The sequence below is a fragment of the Homo sapiens genome, chromosome 11, assembly GCF_000001405.40.
Source record: "Homo sapiens chromosome 11, GRCh38.p14 Primary Assembly".
Lineage (NCBI taxonomy): Eukaryota > Metazoa > Chordata > Mammalia > Primates > Hominidae > Homo > Homo sapiens.
This window is the reverse complement of record NC_000011.10, coordinates 3445194-3460352: the sequence shown is the minus strand read 5'-3', so window position 1 is coordinate 3460352 and position 15159 is coordinate 3445194. Positions and strand designations below refer to the sequence as shown.

The following is a 15159-nucleotide window of genomic DNA, read 5'->3' as shown; positions in this document are numbered from 1 at the left end:
GGAGGCCAAGGTGGGTGGATCACCTAAGGTCAGGAGTTCGAGACCAGCCTGGCCAACGCCATGAAACCCCATCTCTACTAAAAAGACAAAAACAAAAGAAAGAAAGAAATTAGCCAGGCATGGTGGAGAGCGCCAGTAATCCCAGCTACTTGGGTGGCTGAGACAGAGGATCACTTGAACCTGGGAGGCAGAGGTTGCAGTAAGCCAAGATGGCATCATTGCACTCCAGCCTAGGCAACAAGAGTGAAACTCTGTCTCAACCAAAAAGAAAGAAAGAAAGAAAGAAAAAAACATAGTTTTAAGTCCACTCAGTGGAGTTTAAAAGTACATTCTCGTTGCACAGTGCTTTTGGAATCTTTTCTAAATTTCTGTTGCACATGATCTAATTTGATCTTCATAGCAACCCTGAGGTGGATAGGGCAGGCCTTTCTGAACACCTATTTTCTAGTTTGCATTAAAAGAACGGAATTGGCTGGGACCAGTGGCTCATGCCTATAATCCCAACACTTTGTGATACAGAAGGGAAGTGCTCAGAAGGGAAGAATGTGGTCCCTTTAAATGATATGGAAGTGAGGAAGGGAAGCACTGGGTAGAGGAGGGTGTGGTCCCTGGCTAGGGCTCCACCCCAGGGCCTGTGCCCACGGACCTAGGTGAGGACAGGTATTTTTGTTTTCCTGCCCAAATGTTGCATTTCCCAAGACCACCCTGGCTGCCACACACCCATTCTGTGCCTATAAAAACCCTGAGACCCTAGCAGGCAGGCACACAGGCAGCTGAACTTCGAGAGGAGCACATCAGCGGAGGAACACAAGGGTGCTGGACGTCAAGAGGAACGCACCAATGGGCACCGACACACCGCAGGCCACTGACTGCAGAACAACACAGAGTTTGGCTGGGACATTCGGAGAAGAGTCAGGCCACTCACCCGACTCCAGGGGTAAACCATCTCCCTTCTGGCTCCCCCACCTGCTGAGAGATACTTCCACTCAATAAAACCTTACACTCTCAGGCCTGTAATTCCAGCACTTTGGGAGGCTGAGGAGGGCAGATCACGAGGTCAGGAGATCCAGACCATCCTGGCTAACACAGTGAAACCCCATCTCTACTAAAAATACAAAAAAATTAGCCAGGCGTGGTGGTGGGTGCCTGTAGTGTCAGCTACTTGGGAGGCTGAGGCAGGAAAATGACGTCAACCCAGGAGGCGGAGCTTGCAGTGAGCTGAGATCGCACCACTTCCGGTATACCAAGGCAAGAACCCCAGGACAAAAAGAGCCCTCTGTCCTTGCAATAAGGCGGGGGTCTAATTGAGCCGACTAACACAAGCTACCTACAGACGGCTAAACTAAAAGAGCACCCTGTAACACACACCCACTGGGGCTTCAACTATAAACATTCACCCCTGGACACTGCCATGGGGCTCCCTGCCTGTCTGCATGCTCCCCTAGAGGTTTGAGCAGTGGGGCACTGAATAAATGAACCACACCCGCATCGCATGTCCTTCGAAGGGGACAACGGAACTTTTCCCATTTCATCTGAGAGGCCAAGGCAGGAGGATCACTTGAGCCCATGAGTTTGAGACCAGCCTACACAACCTAGCAAGACCCCATCTCTACAAAAAAAATAAGTAAACAAAAAAAAAAAGCATTAAAAATTAGCCAGCTGTGGTGGCACACACCTGTAGTCTCAGCTACTCAGGAGGCTGATGTGGAAGGATTGATTGAGCCCAGGAGATTGAGGCTGCAGTGAGCCAAGATTGAACCACTGCACTCCAGCCTGGGCGACAGAGTGACACCCTGTATCGACAACAACAAAAAGAATGGAAAAAAATAACTTCTCAAATAGCTAGCAGAGGCAGATCTGGTTCTCAAATGCAGGTTTTCAAGGTTTCAATTCTTGTTTCTAGCAGTAATATGGAGAAACATGATCACTAATACATGAAGGAGAGGAGGTTTCAAGTTCTGATGAAAAGATGGTAAAGAGAGGAGTTAGTTGACTAGGAGTGACTAGGAATAGGAAGAAAACGCATGACACTACTTAGAGGAAAGAAGAAAAATGAGCATAGAGGTGACTGAGCAGACAGAAAGGACTTGGAAGAAGCGTGTTTGGCCCTGTCTCTAAGTTTTTTCCCTTGCTTTAGTAACTTTCCTGATGACTTGGATGAATCTTCTCTTCCAGGGTACCTAGTGTTCCCTTTCTGTCCACTTCTCCTTTCCCAGGGCCCATACAGTCTGGGAAAGCATGCTCTGCAGGCTTCTCGTATCTTTCCTTCCTTAATCAGCCCCTAGCATCTCTACATAACCCATATACACCTGGAGTTCCACATGTCCCAGTCTTTGCACTGCAGTGAATTCAAAGAATGGTAGACTCTAGCTGGGCGCAGGGGCTCACACCTGTAATCCCAGCACTTTGGGAGGCTGAGGCAGGCGGATCACTTGAGCCTAGGGGTTCAAGACCAGGCCTGGCCAACATGGTGAAACCCCATCTCTACTAAAAATACAAAAATTAGCTGTGCTTGGTGGTACATGCCCTGTAGTCCCAGCTTCTGGGGAGGCTGAGGCAGAAGAATTGCTGGAACCCAGGAGGCAGAGGTTGCAGTGAGCTGAGATCGTGCCACTGCACTCCAGCGGCCTGGGCAACAGAGCAAGGCCCAGTCTGAAAAAAAACAAAGACAAAACTAAACCAAAAAAACACAAAAAACTAAAAACGCGCACACACACAAAAACAAAGGTAGACTCCAATAGGAAAAATTCACTCAAAAGCAATTCAAATAATTATTCAGTCAACCCAGTTCTATCTCAGTTCTTTATTATATACATAAGCTTATTCTGTCCAGATGCCCTAGTTTTCTTTTTCTTATCTTTTTTTGTTTTCTTTTGAGACAGGACCTCACTCTGTCACCCAGGCTGGAGTATAGTGGCACAATCATGGCTCACTGAAGCCTCAACCTCCTGGGCTGAAGTAGTTCTCCCACCTCAGCCTCCTAAGTAACTGGGACTACAGGTGCATGCCACCATGCTCAGCAACTTTTTGTATTTTTTGTAGAAACGGGGTCTCACTATGTGGGCCAGGCTGGTCTTGAACTCCTGGACTCAAGAAGTCCACCTGCCTCAACCTCCCAAAGTGCCAAGATTACAAGCATGAGCCACTGCATCTGGCTGATTCCATAGTTTTCTTTTTCTCTTTGCCCATTGCCTGGATTCCATAAACAGAAGGAAAACCCAGGGGCTGACTTTGTAGGCAAGACTCTTTCCTCTTCAAAACGTAAATTGGCTCAAGTGGTACCAAAACTGAAACATGTTTATAACTTAACATCTTTTCTTCCTACCCCTTCAATCTCTTGAGCAATGACAAAAGGCACTGGGCTCTTTATTTGTGTAGGGAAAAGAAAGAGAGATCAGACTGTCACTGTGTCTATGTAGAAAGGGAAGACATAAGAGACTCCATTTTGAAAAAGATCTGTACTTTAAACAATTGCGTTGCTGAGATGTTGTTCATTTGTAGCTTTGCCCCAGCCACTTTGCCCCAACCACTTTGACCCAACTTGGAGTTCACAAAAACATGTGTTGTATAAAATCAAGGTTTAAGGGATCTAGGGCCGTACAGGACGTGCCTTGTTAACCAAATGTTTACAAGCAGTATACTTGGTAAAAGTCATTGCCATTCTCTAGTCACAATAAACCAGAGGCACAATACACTGTGGAAAGCCTCAGGGACCTCTGCCCTTGAAAGCAGTGTATTGTCCAAGGTTTTTCCCCATGTGATAGTCTGAAATATGACCTCGTGGGATGAGAAAGACCTGACTGTCCCCCAGCCAGATACCCGTAAAGGGTCTGTGCTGAGGTGAATTAGTACAAGAGGAAAGTCTCTTGCAGTTGAGATGGAGGAAGGCCACTGTCTCCTGCCTGCCCCTGGGAACTCAAAGTCTCGGTATAAAACCCAATTGTACATTTGTTCAAGTCTGAGATAGGAGAAAAGCTGCCCTGTGACGGGAGGCGAGACATGTTTACAGCAATGCTGCCTTGTTATTCTTTACTCCGCTGAGATGTTTGGGAGGAGAGAAACATAAATCTGGCTTACGTACACTTCCAGGCATAGTACCTTCCCTTGAACTTAATTATGATATAGATTCTTTTGCTCACATGTTTTTTGTTGACCTCCTTAATATCACCCTGCTCTCCTACTACATTCCTTTTTGCTGAAATAATGAAAATCATAATCAATAAAAACTGAGGGAACTCAGGGGCCGGGGCCGGTGCATGTCCTTGGTGTGCTCAGTGCCGGTCCCCTGGACCCACTGTTGTTTCTCTATACTTTGTCTCTGTGTCTTATTTCTTTTCTCTGTCTCTCATCCCACCTGACTAGAAATACCGACAGGTGTGGAGGGGCAGGCCATCCCTTCATCTGGAGCCCAGAGTGGAGCCCTTCTCTAGGGTGAAGTTACGCTAAGAACGTGAGCATTGAGGACAGCCGACGAGAGATTCCCGAGTACGTCCACAGTCAGCCTTGTGGTTAGCTTGTGCGCTCGGAGGAATCCAGGGTAACAATGGGGCAAACTGAAAGTAAATATGCTTCTTATCTCAGCTTCATTAAAATTCTCTTAAGAGGAGGAGTTAAAGCTTCTACAGAAAATCTAGTTATGCTATTTCAAACAATAGAACAATTCCGCCCATGGTTTCCAGAACAGGGAACTTTAGATTTAGAAGATTGGGTAAAAATTGGCAAAGAACTAAAACAAGCAATTAGGAAGGTAAAATCATCCCACTTACAGTATGGAATGATTGGGCCATTATTAAAGCAACTTTAGAACCATTTCAAATAGAAGAAGATAGCGTTTCAGTCTTTGACGCCCCTGAAAGCTGTGTAATAGATTGTGAAGAAGAGGCAGGAACAGAGTGTAAGAAAGGAATGGAAAGTTCACATTGTAAAAATGCAGTAGAGCCTGTACTGGCTTGGTCAATGCAGAATGTTGACTATAATCAATTACAGGAGGTAATATATCCTGAATCATCAAAATTGGGGGAAGGAGGTCCAGAATTATTTGGGCCATCAGAGTTTAGACCACGATGGCCACCAACTCCTTCTCCCGCGGTTCAGATGCCTGTGATGTCACAATCTCAAATGCCAATCCAGGCACAGTATCCGCAATACCAGCCAGTAGAAAATAAAACTCAACCATCGGTAGTTTATCAACACCAGCCGCCAGCCGCATTTCAGTATCGGCCGTCTCCAGAGGTTCAGTATGGATCTCAGGCAGTGCGTCCTGTGCCAAATAGCAAGGCACTACATCAACAACCCACGGCGATGGCGTTTGATCTTACAGTACCACCTAGTGGACAAGATAGTGCACTGCATGAGACCATTGCTACAGCCAGAAAACAGGGAGATCTTGAGGCATGGCAATATCCGGTAATGTTACAACCGATGCCGGCCGGGAAAGCGAGTCAGGCAGGAGCGTCTGTCTGAACTGAGACTAGATATGAATCTTTCACCATAAAAATGTTAAAAGATATGAAGGAAGGAGTTAAACTATATGGACCTAACTCTCCTTATATGAGAACATTATTAGATTCCATTGTTCATGGAAATAGACTTATTCCTTATGATTGGGAAATTTTGGCTAAATCTTCCCTTTCACCCTCTCAGTATCTACAGTTTAAAACCTGGTGGACTGATGGGGTACAAGAACAGGTACGAAAAAATCAGGCTACTAATCCTGTTGCTTATATAGATGCAGACCAATTGCTAGGAACAGGTCCAAATTAGGGCACTATTAACCAACAATCAGTAATGAAAATGAGGCTATTGAACAACTAAGGGCTATTTGCCTCAGGGCCTGGGAAAAGATTCAGGACCCAGGAACCTCCTGCCGTTCTTTTAGTTCAATCAGACAAGGCTCTAAAGAGCCATATCCAGACTTTGTGGCAAGGTTGCAAGATGCGGCTCAAAAATCCATTGCGGATCATAATGCCCGAAAAGTTATTGTAGAAATAATGGCTTATCAAAACGCAAATCCGGAGTGTCAATCAGCCATAAAGCCATTAAGAGGAAAGGTTTCAGCAGGAGTTGATGTAATTACAGAATATGTGAGGGCTTGTGATGGGATTGGAGGAGCTATGCATAAGGCAATGCTATTGGCTCAAGCAATTACAGGGGTTGCTTTAGGAGGACAAGTTAAAACATTTGGGGGGAAATGTTATAATTGTGGTCAAATCGGTCATCTAAAAAAGAATTGCCCAGGCTTAAATAAACAGAGCAAACAAACAAAAAAGAGCCACCTGGCCTGAGCCCAAGATGTGGAAAAGGAAAACATTGAGCTAAGGAATGTCGTTCTAAATTTGATAAAAATGGACAACCATTGTCGGGAAACGGGAAGAGGGGCCAGCCCCAGGCCCCGCAACAAAGTGGGGCATTCCGGATTCAGCCATTTGTTCCTCAGGGTTTTCAGGGACAACAACCCCACAGTAAATACCACCATTTCAGGAAATCAGCCAATTACAATACGACAATTATCCCCTGCCACAGCAGGCAGTGCTGCAGTAGATTTATGTTCTACTCAAATGATTTCTTACTCCCTGGAGAGCCCCCGCAAAAGATTCCTACAGGGGTATATGGCCCGCTGCCAGAAGGGATGGTAGCCTTATTTTAGGAAGATCTAGTCTAAATTTGAAAGGAGTTCAAATTCATACTGGGGTAATTGACTCAGATTATAAAGGGGAAATTCAGTTAGTGATCAGCTCTACTGTTCCCTGGAGTGCCAATCCAGGTGATAGAGTTGCTCAATTACTGCTCTTGCCTTATATTAAAATTGGGGATAGCAAAACAGAAAGAACAGGAGGGTTTGGAAGTACCAACACTGCTGGAAAAGCTGTTTATTGGGCTAGTCAGCTCTCAGAGAATAGACCTGTGTGTACAGTTACTATTCAGGGAAAACAGTTTGAAGGATTAGTGGATACTGGGGCTGATGTTTCTATCATTGCCTTAAATCAACGGCCAAAAAATCGGCCTAAACAAAAGCCTGTCACAGGACTTGTTGGTGTGGGCACTGCCTCAGAAGTGTATCAAAGTTCCAGGATTTTACATTGTCTAGGACCTGATAATCAAGAGAGTACAGTTCAGCCTATGATTACTTCTATTCCAATTAATTTATGGGGCCGAGACTTATTAGAACAGTGGCATGCAGAGATTACTATTCCAGTCTCTCTATACAGCCCCACGAGTCAAAAAATCATGACTAAAATGGGATATCTCCCTGGCAAAGGACTAGGGAAAAATGGAGAAGGCATTAAAGGTCCAATTGAGGCTAAGGGAAATCCAGAAAGAAAAGGACTAGGGTATCCTTTTTAGGGGTGACCACTGTAGAGCCTCCAAAACCCATTCCATTAACTTGGAAAACAGAAAAGCCTGTATGGGTAAATCAGTGGCCACTACCAAAACAAAAGCTGGAGGCCTTACACTTATTGGCAAAAGAACAATTAGAAAAGCATTCATTTTCGCCTTGGAATTCTGTGTTTGTAATTCAGAAAAAATCATGCAGATGGCACATGCTAACTGATTTAAGAGCTGTTAATGCAATAATTCAACCCATGGGGCCTCTCCAACCTGGGCTGCCCTCTCCAGCCATGATCCCCAAAGATTGGCCTTTGATTATAATTGATCTGAAGTATTGCTTTTTTACCATTCTTCTGGCAAAACAGGATTTTGAAAAATTTGCTTTTACTATACCAGCCATAAATAATAAAGAACGAGCCACTAGATTTCAGTGGAAACTGTTGCCTCAGGGAATGCTTAATAGTCCAACTATTTGTCAGACTTTTGTAGCTCAAGTTCTTCAACCAGTTAGAGACAAGTTTTCAGACTGTTATATCATTCATTATGTTGATGATATTTTGTGTGCTGCAGAAACAAGAGACAAATTAATTGACTGTTACACATTTCTGCAGACAGAGGTTGCAAACGCAGGCCTGACAATAGCATCTGATAAGATCCAGACCTCCACTCCTTTTCATTATTTGGGAATGCAGGTAGAGGAGAGAAAAATTAAACCACAAAAAGTAGAAATAAGAAAAGACACATTAAGAACATTAAATGACTTCAAAAATTACTAGGAGATATTAATTGGATTTAGCCAACTCTAGGCATCCCTACTTATGCCATGTCAAATTTGTTCTCTATCTTGAGAGGGGATCCAGACTTAAATAGTAAAATAATATTAACTCCAGAGGCTACTAAAGAAATAGAATTAGTTGAAGAAAAAATTCAGTCAGCAAAATTAAATAGAATAGATCACTTAGCCCCATTCCAACTTTTAATTTTTGCTACTGCACATTCTCCAACAGGCATTACTGTTCAAAATACAGATCTTGTGGAGTGGTCATTCCTTCCTCACAGTACAGTTAAGATTTTACATTGTACTTAGATCAAATGGCTACATTAATTGGTCAGGCAAGACTATGAATAGTAAAATTGTGTGGAAATGACCCAGATAAAATCATTGTTTCTTTAAACAAGGAACAGGTTAGACAAGCCTTTATCAATTCTGGTGCAGGGCAGATTGGTCTTGCTGATTTTGTGGGAATTATTGATAATCATTACCCAAAAGCAAAAATCTTCCAGTTTTTGAAATTGGCTACTTAGATTTTACCTAAAATTACCAGACAAAAACCTCTAGAAAATGCTCTGACGGTGTTTACTGATGGTTCCAGCAATGGAAAAGTGGCTTACACTGGGCCAAAAGAACAAGTCATTGAAACTCAATATCACTCAGCTCAAAGAGCAGAATTGGTTGATGTCATTTCAGTGTTACAAGATTTTAATCAGCCTATTAACATTGTTTCAGATTCTGCATATGTAGTACAGGTTACAAAGGATGTTGAGACAGCCCTAATCAAATATAGTATGGATGATCAGTTAAATCAGCTGTTTAAATTGTTACAACAAACTATAAGAAAAAGAAATTTCCCATTTTATATGGCTCATATCCGAGCACATACTAATTTACCAGGGCCTTTAACTAAGGCAAATGGACAAGCTGACTTGCTAGTATCATCTGCCTTCATGGAAGTACAAGAACTTCAGGCCCTGACTCGTAAATGTAACAGGATTAAAAAACAAATTTGATATCACATGGAAACAAGCAAAAAATGTTGTACAACATTGTGCTCAGTGTCAAGTCTTACACCTGCCCGCTCAAGAGGCAGGAGTTAATCCTAGAGGTTTATGTCCTGATGCATTATGGCAATGGAAGTCACACATGTACCTTCATTTGGAAAATTGTCATTTGTCCATGTGACAGTTGATACTTACTCACATTTCATATGGGCAACCTGCCAGACAGGAGAAACTACTTCCCATGTTAAAAGACATTTATTATCTTGTTTTGCAGTCATGGGATTTCCAGAAAAAATTAAAACAGATAATGGGCCAGGATACTGTAGTAAAGCATTTCAAAAATTCTTAAATCAGTGGAAAATTACATATACAACAGGAATCCCTAATTTCCAAGGACAGGCCATAATTGAAAGAACTAATAGAACACTCAAAGCTCAATTGGTTAAACAAAAAAAAGGAAAAAGTAAGGAGTATAACACTCCCCAGATGCAACTTAATCTAGCACTCTATACTTTAAATTTTTAAAATATATATATAAATCAGACCACTACTTCTGCAGAACAACATTTTACTGGTAAAAAGAACAGCCCACATGAGGGAAAACTGATTTGGTGGAAAGACAACAAAAATAAAACATGGGAAATAGGTAAGGTGATAACATGGGGGAGAGGTTTTGCTTGTGTTTCACCAGGAAAAAATCAGCTTCCTGTTTGGGTACCCACTAGACATTTGAAGTTCTACAATGAACCCATCAGAGATGCAAGGGAAGGCGCCTCCACAGAGACAGAGAACCCGTAATCGAACATCATCGACTCGCAGGGTGAACAAAATGGTGATATCAGAAGAACAGATGAAGTTGCCATCCACCAAGAAAGTGGGGCCGCCGACCTGGGCCCAGCTAAAGAAGCTGACACAGTTAGCTGAAAAAAGCCTGGAAAACACAAGGGTAACACAAACTCCAGAGAATATGCTGCTTGCAGCTTTAATGATTGTATCAACGGTGGTAAGTCTCCCTATGTCTTCAGGAGCTGCTACAGCTAACTATACTTACTGAGCCTATGTGATTTTCCCACCCTTAATTCGGGCAGTCACTTGGATAGATAATCCTATTGAAGTATATGTTAATAACAGTGCAAGGGTACCAGGCCCCACTGATGACCGTGGCCCTGCCCAACCTGAAGAAGAAGGAATGATGATAAACATTTCCTTTGGGTGTCATTATCCTCCTATTTGCCTGGGAAAAGCACCAGGATGCTTAATGCCTACAATCCAAAATTGGTTGATAGAAGTACCTACTGTCAGTGCCACCAGTAAATTTACTTATCATACGATAAGTGGAATGTCACTCGGGTCACAAATGAATAACTTACAGAATTCTTCCTATCAAAGATTATTAAAATTTAGGCCTAAAGGGAAACCATGCCCCAAGGAAATTCCAAAAGAATCAAAAGACCCAGAAGTCTTAGTTTGGGAAGAATGTGTGGCTGATACTGCAGTGGTACTACAAAACAATAAATTTGGAACTATTATAGACTAGGCCCCTTGAGGCCAATTATATTATGACTGTATGGGCCAGACCCACTCATGTTCACAGGCTCCATCTGTCTGGCCCACTAATCCGGCCTAGTTAGTGATTTAACTAAAAGGCTAGACCAGGTTTATAGAAGGCTAGAATCACCCTATCCATGGAAATGGGGTGAAAAGAGGATTTCATCACCCCGACCAAAGTTAGTTAGTCCTGTTGTTGGTCCTGAACACCCAGAATTATGGAAGCTCACTGTGGCCTCATACCACATTAGAATTTGGTCTGGAAATCAAGTTATGGGAACAAGAAATCATAAGCCATATTATACTATTAACCTAAATTACAATCTGAAAATTCCTTTGCAAAGTTGTGTAAAACCACCTTATATGCTAGTTGTAGGAAACATAGCTATTAAACCAGATTCCCAAACTACAACCAGTGAAAATTGTAGATTGTTTACTTGCATTGATTCAACTTTTGATTGGCAGAATGGTACTCTGTAAGAGCAAGAGAAGGCGTGTGGATCCCTGTGTCCATGGATCGACCGTGGGAGGCTTCTCCATCCGTACATATCTTAAGTATTAAAAGGAGTTCTAACTAGATCTAAAAGATTCATTTTTACTTTGATTGCAGTGATTATGGGCCTTATTGCAGTCACAGCTACTGCTGCGCCTGCTGGAATTGCTTTACACTCCTCTGTTCAAACTGCAGAATATGTGAATAATTGGCAAAAGAATTCCTCAAAATTGTGGAATTCTTAGACTCAAATAGATCAAAAATTGACAAATCAAATTAATGATCTTAGACAAACTGTTATTTGGATGAGAGATAGGCTCATGAGCTTAGAATATCTTTTTCAGTTACAGTGTGACTGGAATACATCAGATTTTTGTATTAAACCTCGAGCCTATAATGAATCTGAACATCACTGGGACATGGTTAGACGCCATCTACAAGGAAGAGAAGATAATCTTACCTTAGATATTTCTAAATTGAAAGAACAAATTTTTGAAACATCAAAAGCCCAGTTAAATCTGGTGTCAGAAACGGAGGCAATGGTAAAAGCTGTTGACAGCCTCACTAATCTTAACCCTGTCACTTGGGTTAAAACCATTGGAAATTCCACTATTGCAAATTTTGTATTAATTCTTGTATGTCTGTCCTCTCTATTGTTAGTCTACAGGTATATCCAGCAGCTCCGGAGAGACAGCGACCAGCGAGAAGGGGCCATGATGACGATGGCGGTTTTGTCAAAAAGAAAAGGGGGAAATGTAGGGAAAAGCGAGAGATCAGACTGTCACTGTGTCTATGTAGAAAGGGAAGACATAAGAGACTCCATTTTGAAAAAGACCTGTACTCTAACAATTGCTTTGCTGAGATGTTGTTCATTTGTAGCTTTGCCCCAGCCACTTTGCCTCAGTCACTTTGACCCAACTTGGAGTTCACAAAAACATGTGTTGTATAAAATCAAGGTTTAAGGGATCTAGGGCTGTGCAGGACGTGCCTTGTTAACCAAATGTTTACAAGCAGTATACTTGGTAAAAGTCATTGCCATTCTCTAGTCACAATAAACCAGGGGCACAATGCACCGTGGAAAGCCGCAGGGAGCCCTGCCCTTGAAAGCAGTGTATTGTCCAAGGTTTCTCCCTATGTGATAGTCTGAAATATGGCCTCGTGGGATGAGAAAGACCTGACTGTCCCCCAGCCTGACACCCATAAAGCGTCTGCGCTGAGGTGGATTAGTCAAAGAGGAAAGCCTCTTGCAGTTGAGATGGAGGAAGGCCACTGTCTCCTGCTTGCCCCTGGGAATTGAATGTCTCGGTGTAAACCCGATTGTACATTTGTTCAAGTCTGAGCTAGGAGAAAAGCTGCCCTGTGGCGGGAGGCGAGACATGTTGCAGTAATGCTGCCTTGTTGTTCTTTACCCCACTGAGATATTTGGGTGGAGAGAAACATAAATCTGGCCTACGTGCAAGTCCAGTCATAGTACCTTCCCTTGAACTTAATTATGATATAGATTCTTTTGCTCACATGTTTTTTGTTGACCTTCTCCTTATTATCACCCTGCTCTCCTATTACATTCCTTTTTGCTGAAATAATGAAAATCATAATCAATAAAAACTGAGGGAACTCAGAGGCCAGTGCCCGTGCAAGTCCTGGTGTGCTAAGTGCCGGTCCCCTGGACCCACTGTTGTTTCCCTGTACTTTGTCTCTGTGTCTTATTTCTTTTCTCCGTCTCTCATCCCACCCGACTAGAAATACCCACAGGTGTGGAAGGGCAGGCCACCCCTTCAATTTTGTGACACATAGCCTGTGGCCTCAAAGAACACTGACACCCCGGTAACATCCATTCGAAGAGCTTCTCCGTACCTCCCCTCCTTTATCCCCAAGGTCTCTGGGCCAGAGATCACTGAGTCATTCACAACATGATGTTTAACACCGAGACGCTCTGGAATTGCTCCTTCAAGATGACTCAGAAGAAGACCCAGTGCTGAGACAATCGTGTTCTCTCTCTCTCTCTCTGGATCACCGCTCAGAGACAAGGACTGCCAGAGACCCTGGCTTCCCCAGCTGCTGCCTCCCATTCCTGTACCTGTGGGATGAGAGTTCGAAGCTGTGTGATCTTGACCAAGTTACTTACCCTCTCTAAGCATATGTTTCCCTAAATGTGAAATAGGGATGATGGTGATGTGTTTATTTCACAGATTTGATAGAAGGATTAAATGAGAGATGCATCAAAAGCAGTGGGCACAGGGTCAATGCTCAGTGAGCTTTCTCTTTTCTTATCAATAGACAGGACTCCATGAGGACAGAGACTGGCTTCATCTCGACTGTAGCCTCAGGGCTGGCCACAGCGTCTGCACCCAGCAGGACTTCGGTAAATGTCTGTTTATACACTAACCACAGACTTAGGCATAAAAGCCCTTTGGAAGAAAGTTGACCATTTCATGCACCTTCAGACTATGAAGAGCAATGATGACAACTATAGCTCGAGAGGGTCTCAGTGCCCATTCATCACCACTGTGAAAAGGCAGAAACCAGAGCTGTGTGTTTAACTCCCAGCCCCAAAACCTGTTGGCTTTGCTTTATCACTATGAACTTCCAATGCCATCCCTTTAGAATGGGACCTCTCTCTTCTTCCCCAAGGCACCAGCCTTCACCCCAGACCTCTCCTTATTAGCTGGTTCCTCCTGTCTGTACTGTGAGCCCATGCTGTGCTCGTCAGATAGCAACATGGGAGAATACAGCAGCCCAGAATGCAGGCTGCAGAGTTAGAGCCCCAGAACAGTATCTCAGCCGGCTCCATCCTTCCTCAGCTGGGCGACCGTGGCCATTGACTTCCTCTCTGTGCCTCAGTTGCTCCATCTGTGAAATGACGATTGTCACAGTCCCTGCTTCAAAGAGTCACTGGGAGGATTAACTGAGAAAATGCAAGGAAGGTGCTTGGAAATAAATGCTCAAAAAAAGTCCATCTGGCCAGGCACAGTGTCTCACACCTGTAATCCCAGCACTTCGGGAGACCGAGGCAGGTGGATCACTTGAGGTCAGGAATTCAAGACCAGCCTGGTCAACATGGCAAAACCCCGACTCTACTAAAAATACAAAAATTAGCCAGGCATGGTGGCAGGCACCTGTAATCCCAACTACTTGGGAGGCTGAGGCATGAGAATCTCTTGAACCTGGGAGGCAGAAGTTGCAGTGAGCCGAGATGGTGCCACTGCACTCCAGCATGGGCAACAAGAGCAAAACTCTGTCTCAAAAAAAAAAAAAAAAGTCCATCATTCTTATTAATGGAGGACAAATCATCTCAGTGCTTCTTTGGCTGATCAGTACCCTCAAAGCTAGTGTTATCCAATAGACCAGAGGTCCCCATCCCCCAGACCACAGACCAGTAGTGTTCTGTGGCCTGTTAGGAACTGGGCTGTACAGAAGGAGGTGAGCAGTGAGCTAATGAGTGAAGCTTCATCTGTATTTACAGCTGCTCCCCACGGCTAGCGTTACCGCCTGAGCTCTGTCTCCTGTCAGATCAGCAGTGGCATTAGATTCTGATAGGAGCACCAACCCTATTGTGAACTGCATGTGGAAGGGATCTAGGTTGTGTGCTCCTGATGAGAATCTAATGCCCTGATGATCTGTCACTGTCTCCCACCACCCTGAGATGGGATTATCTAGTTGCAGGAAAACAAGCTCAGGGCTCCCACTGATTCTACATTATGGTGAGTTGTATAATGATTTCATTATATATTATAATGTTCATAACAATAAAGTACACAATAAATGTAATGCACTTGAATCATACTGAAACTTCCCCCCACAAATACGTGGAAACTGGTCCTTGGTGCTAAAAAAAATTGGGGACCACTGCAATAGACTATTCAGTCATGGTCCAATCAAACATTCTGCAATGGTGGGCTTGCTCTACTCTGCACTGTCCAACATGGGAGCTGCTAGCCACCCACATGGGCTGTTGAGCCCTTGAAATGTGGCTGGTGAGAATGAAGAGCTGAATTTTCAATTTTCTCTTA

At 43.6% G+C, this 15159-nt stretch overlaps 1 pseudogene, besides 2 other annotated features; it reads left to right on the top strand.

Annotated features, from left to right (window-relative positions):
• ENPP7P15 (ectonucleotide pyrophosphatase/phosphodiesterase 7 pseudogene 15) overlaps window positions 1–15159 on the top strand; it is a 70864-nt pseudogene that overhangs the window by 40269 nt on the left and 15436 nt on the right.
• Window positions 425–924: an enhancer, noted in NCBI's record as "H3K27ac hESC enhancer chr11:3480659-3481158 (GRCh37/hg19 assembly coordinates)". NCBI's record gives its function as "activates a minimal SCP1, AML or CMV promoter by ChIP-STARR-seq in naive H9 embryonic stem cells {active_cell/tissue: H9 hESC(naive)}" and the evidence as "EXISTENCE:reporter gene assay evidence [ECO:0000049][PMID:30033119]".
• Window positions 925–1426: an enhancer, noted in NCBI's record as "H3K27ac hESC enhancer chr11:3480157-3480658 (GRCh37/hg19 assembly coordinates)". NCBI's record gives its function as "activates a minimal SCP1, AML or CMV promoter by ChIP-STARR-seq in naive H9 embryonic stem cells {active_cell/tissue: H9 hESC(naive)}" and the evidence as "EXISTENCE:reporter gene assay evidence [ECO:0000049][PMID:30033119]".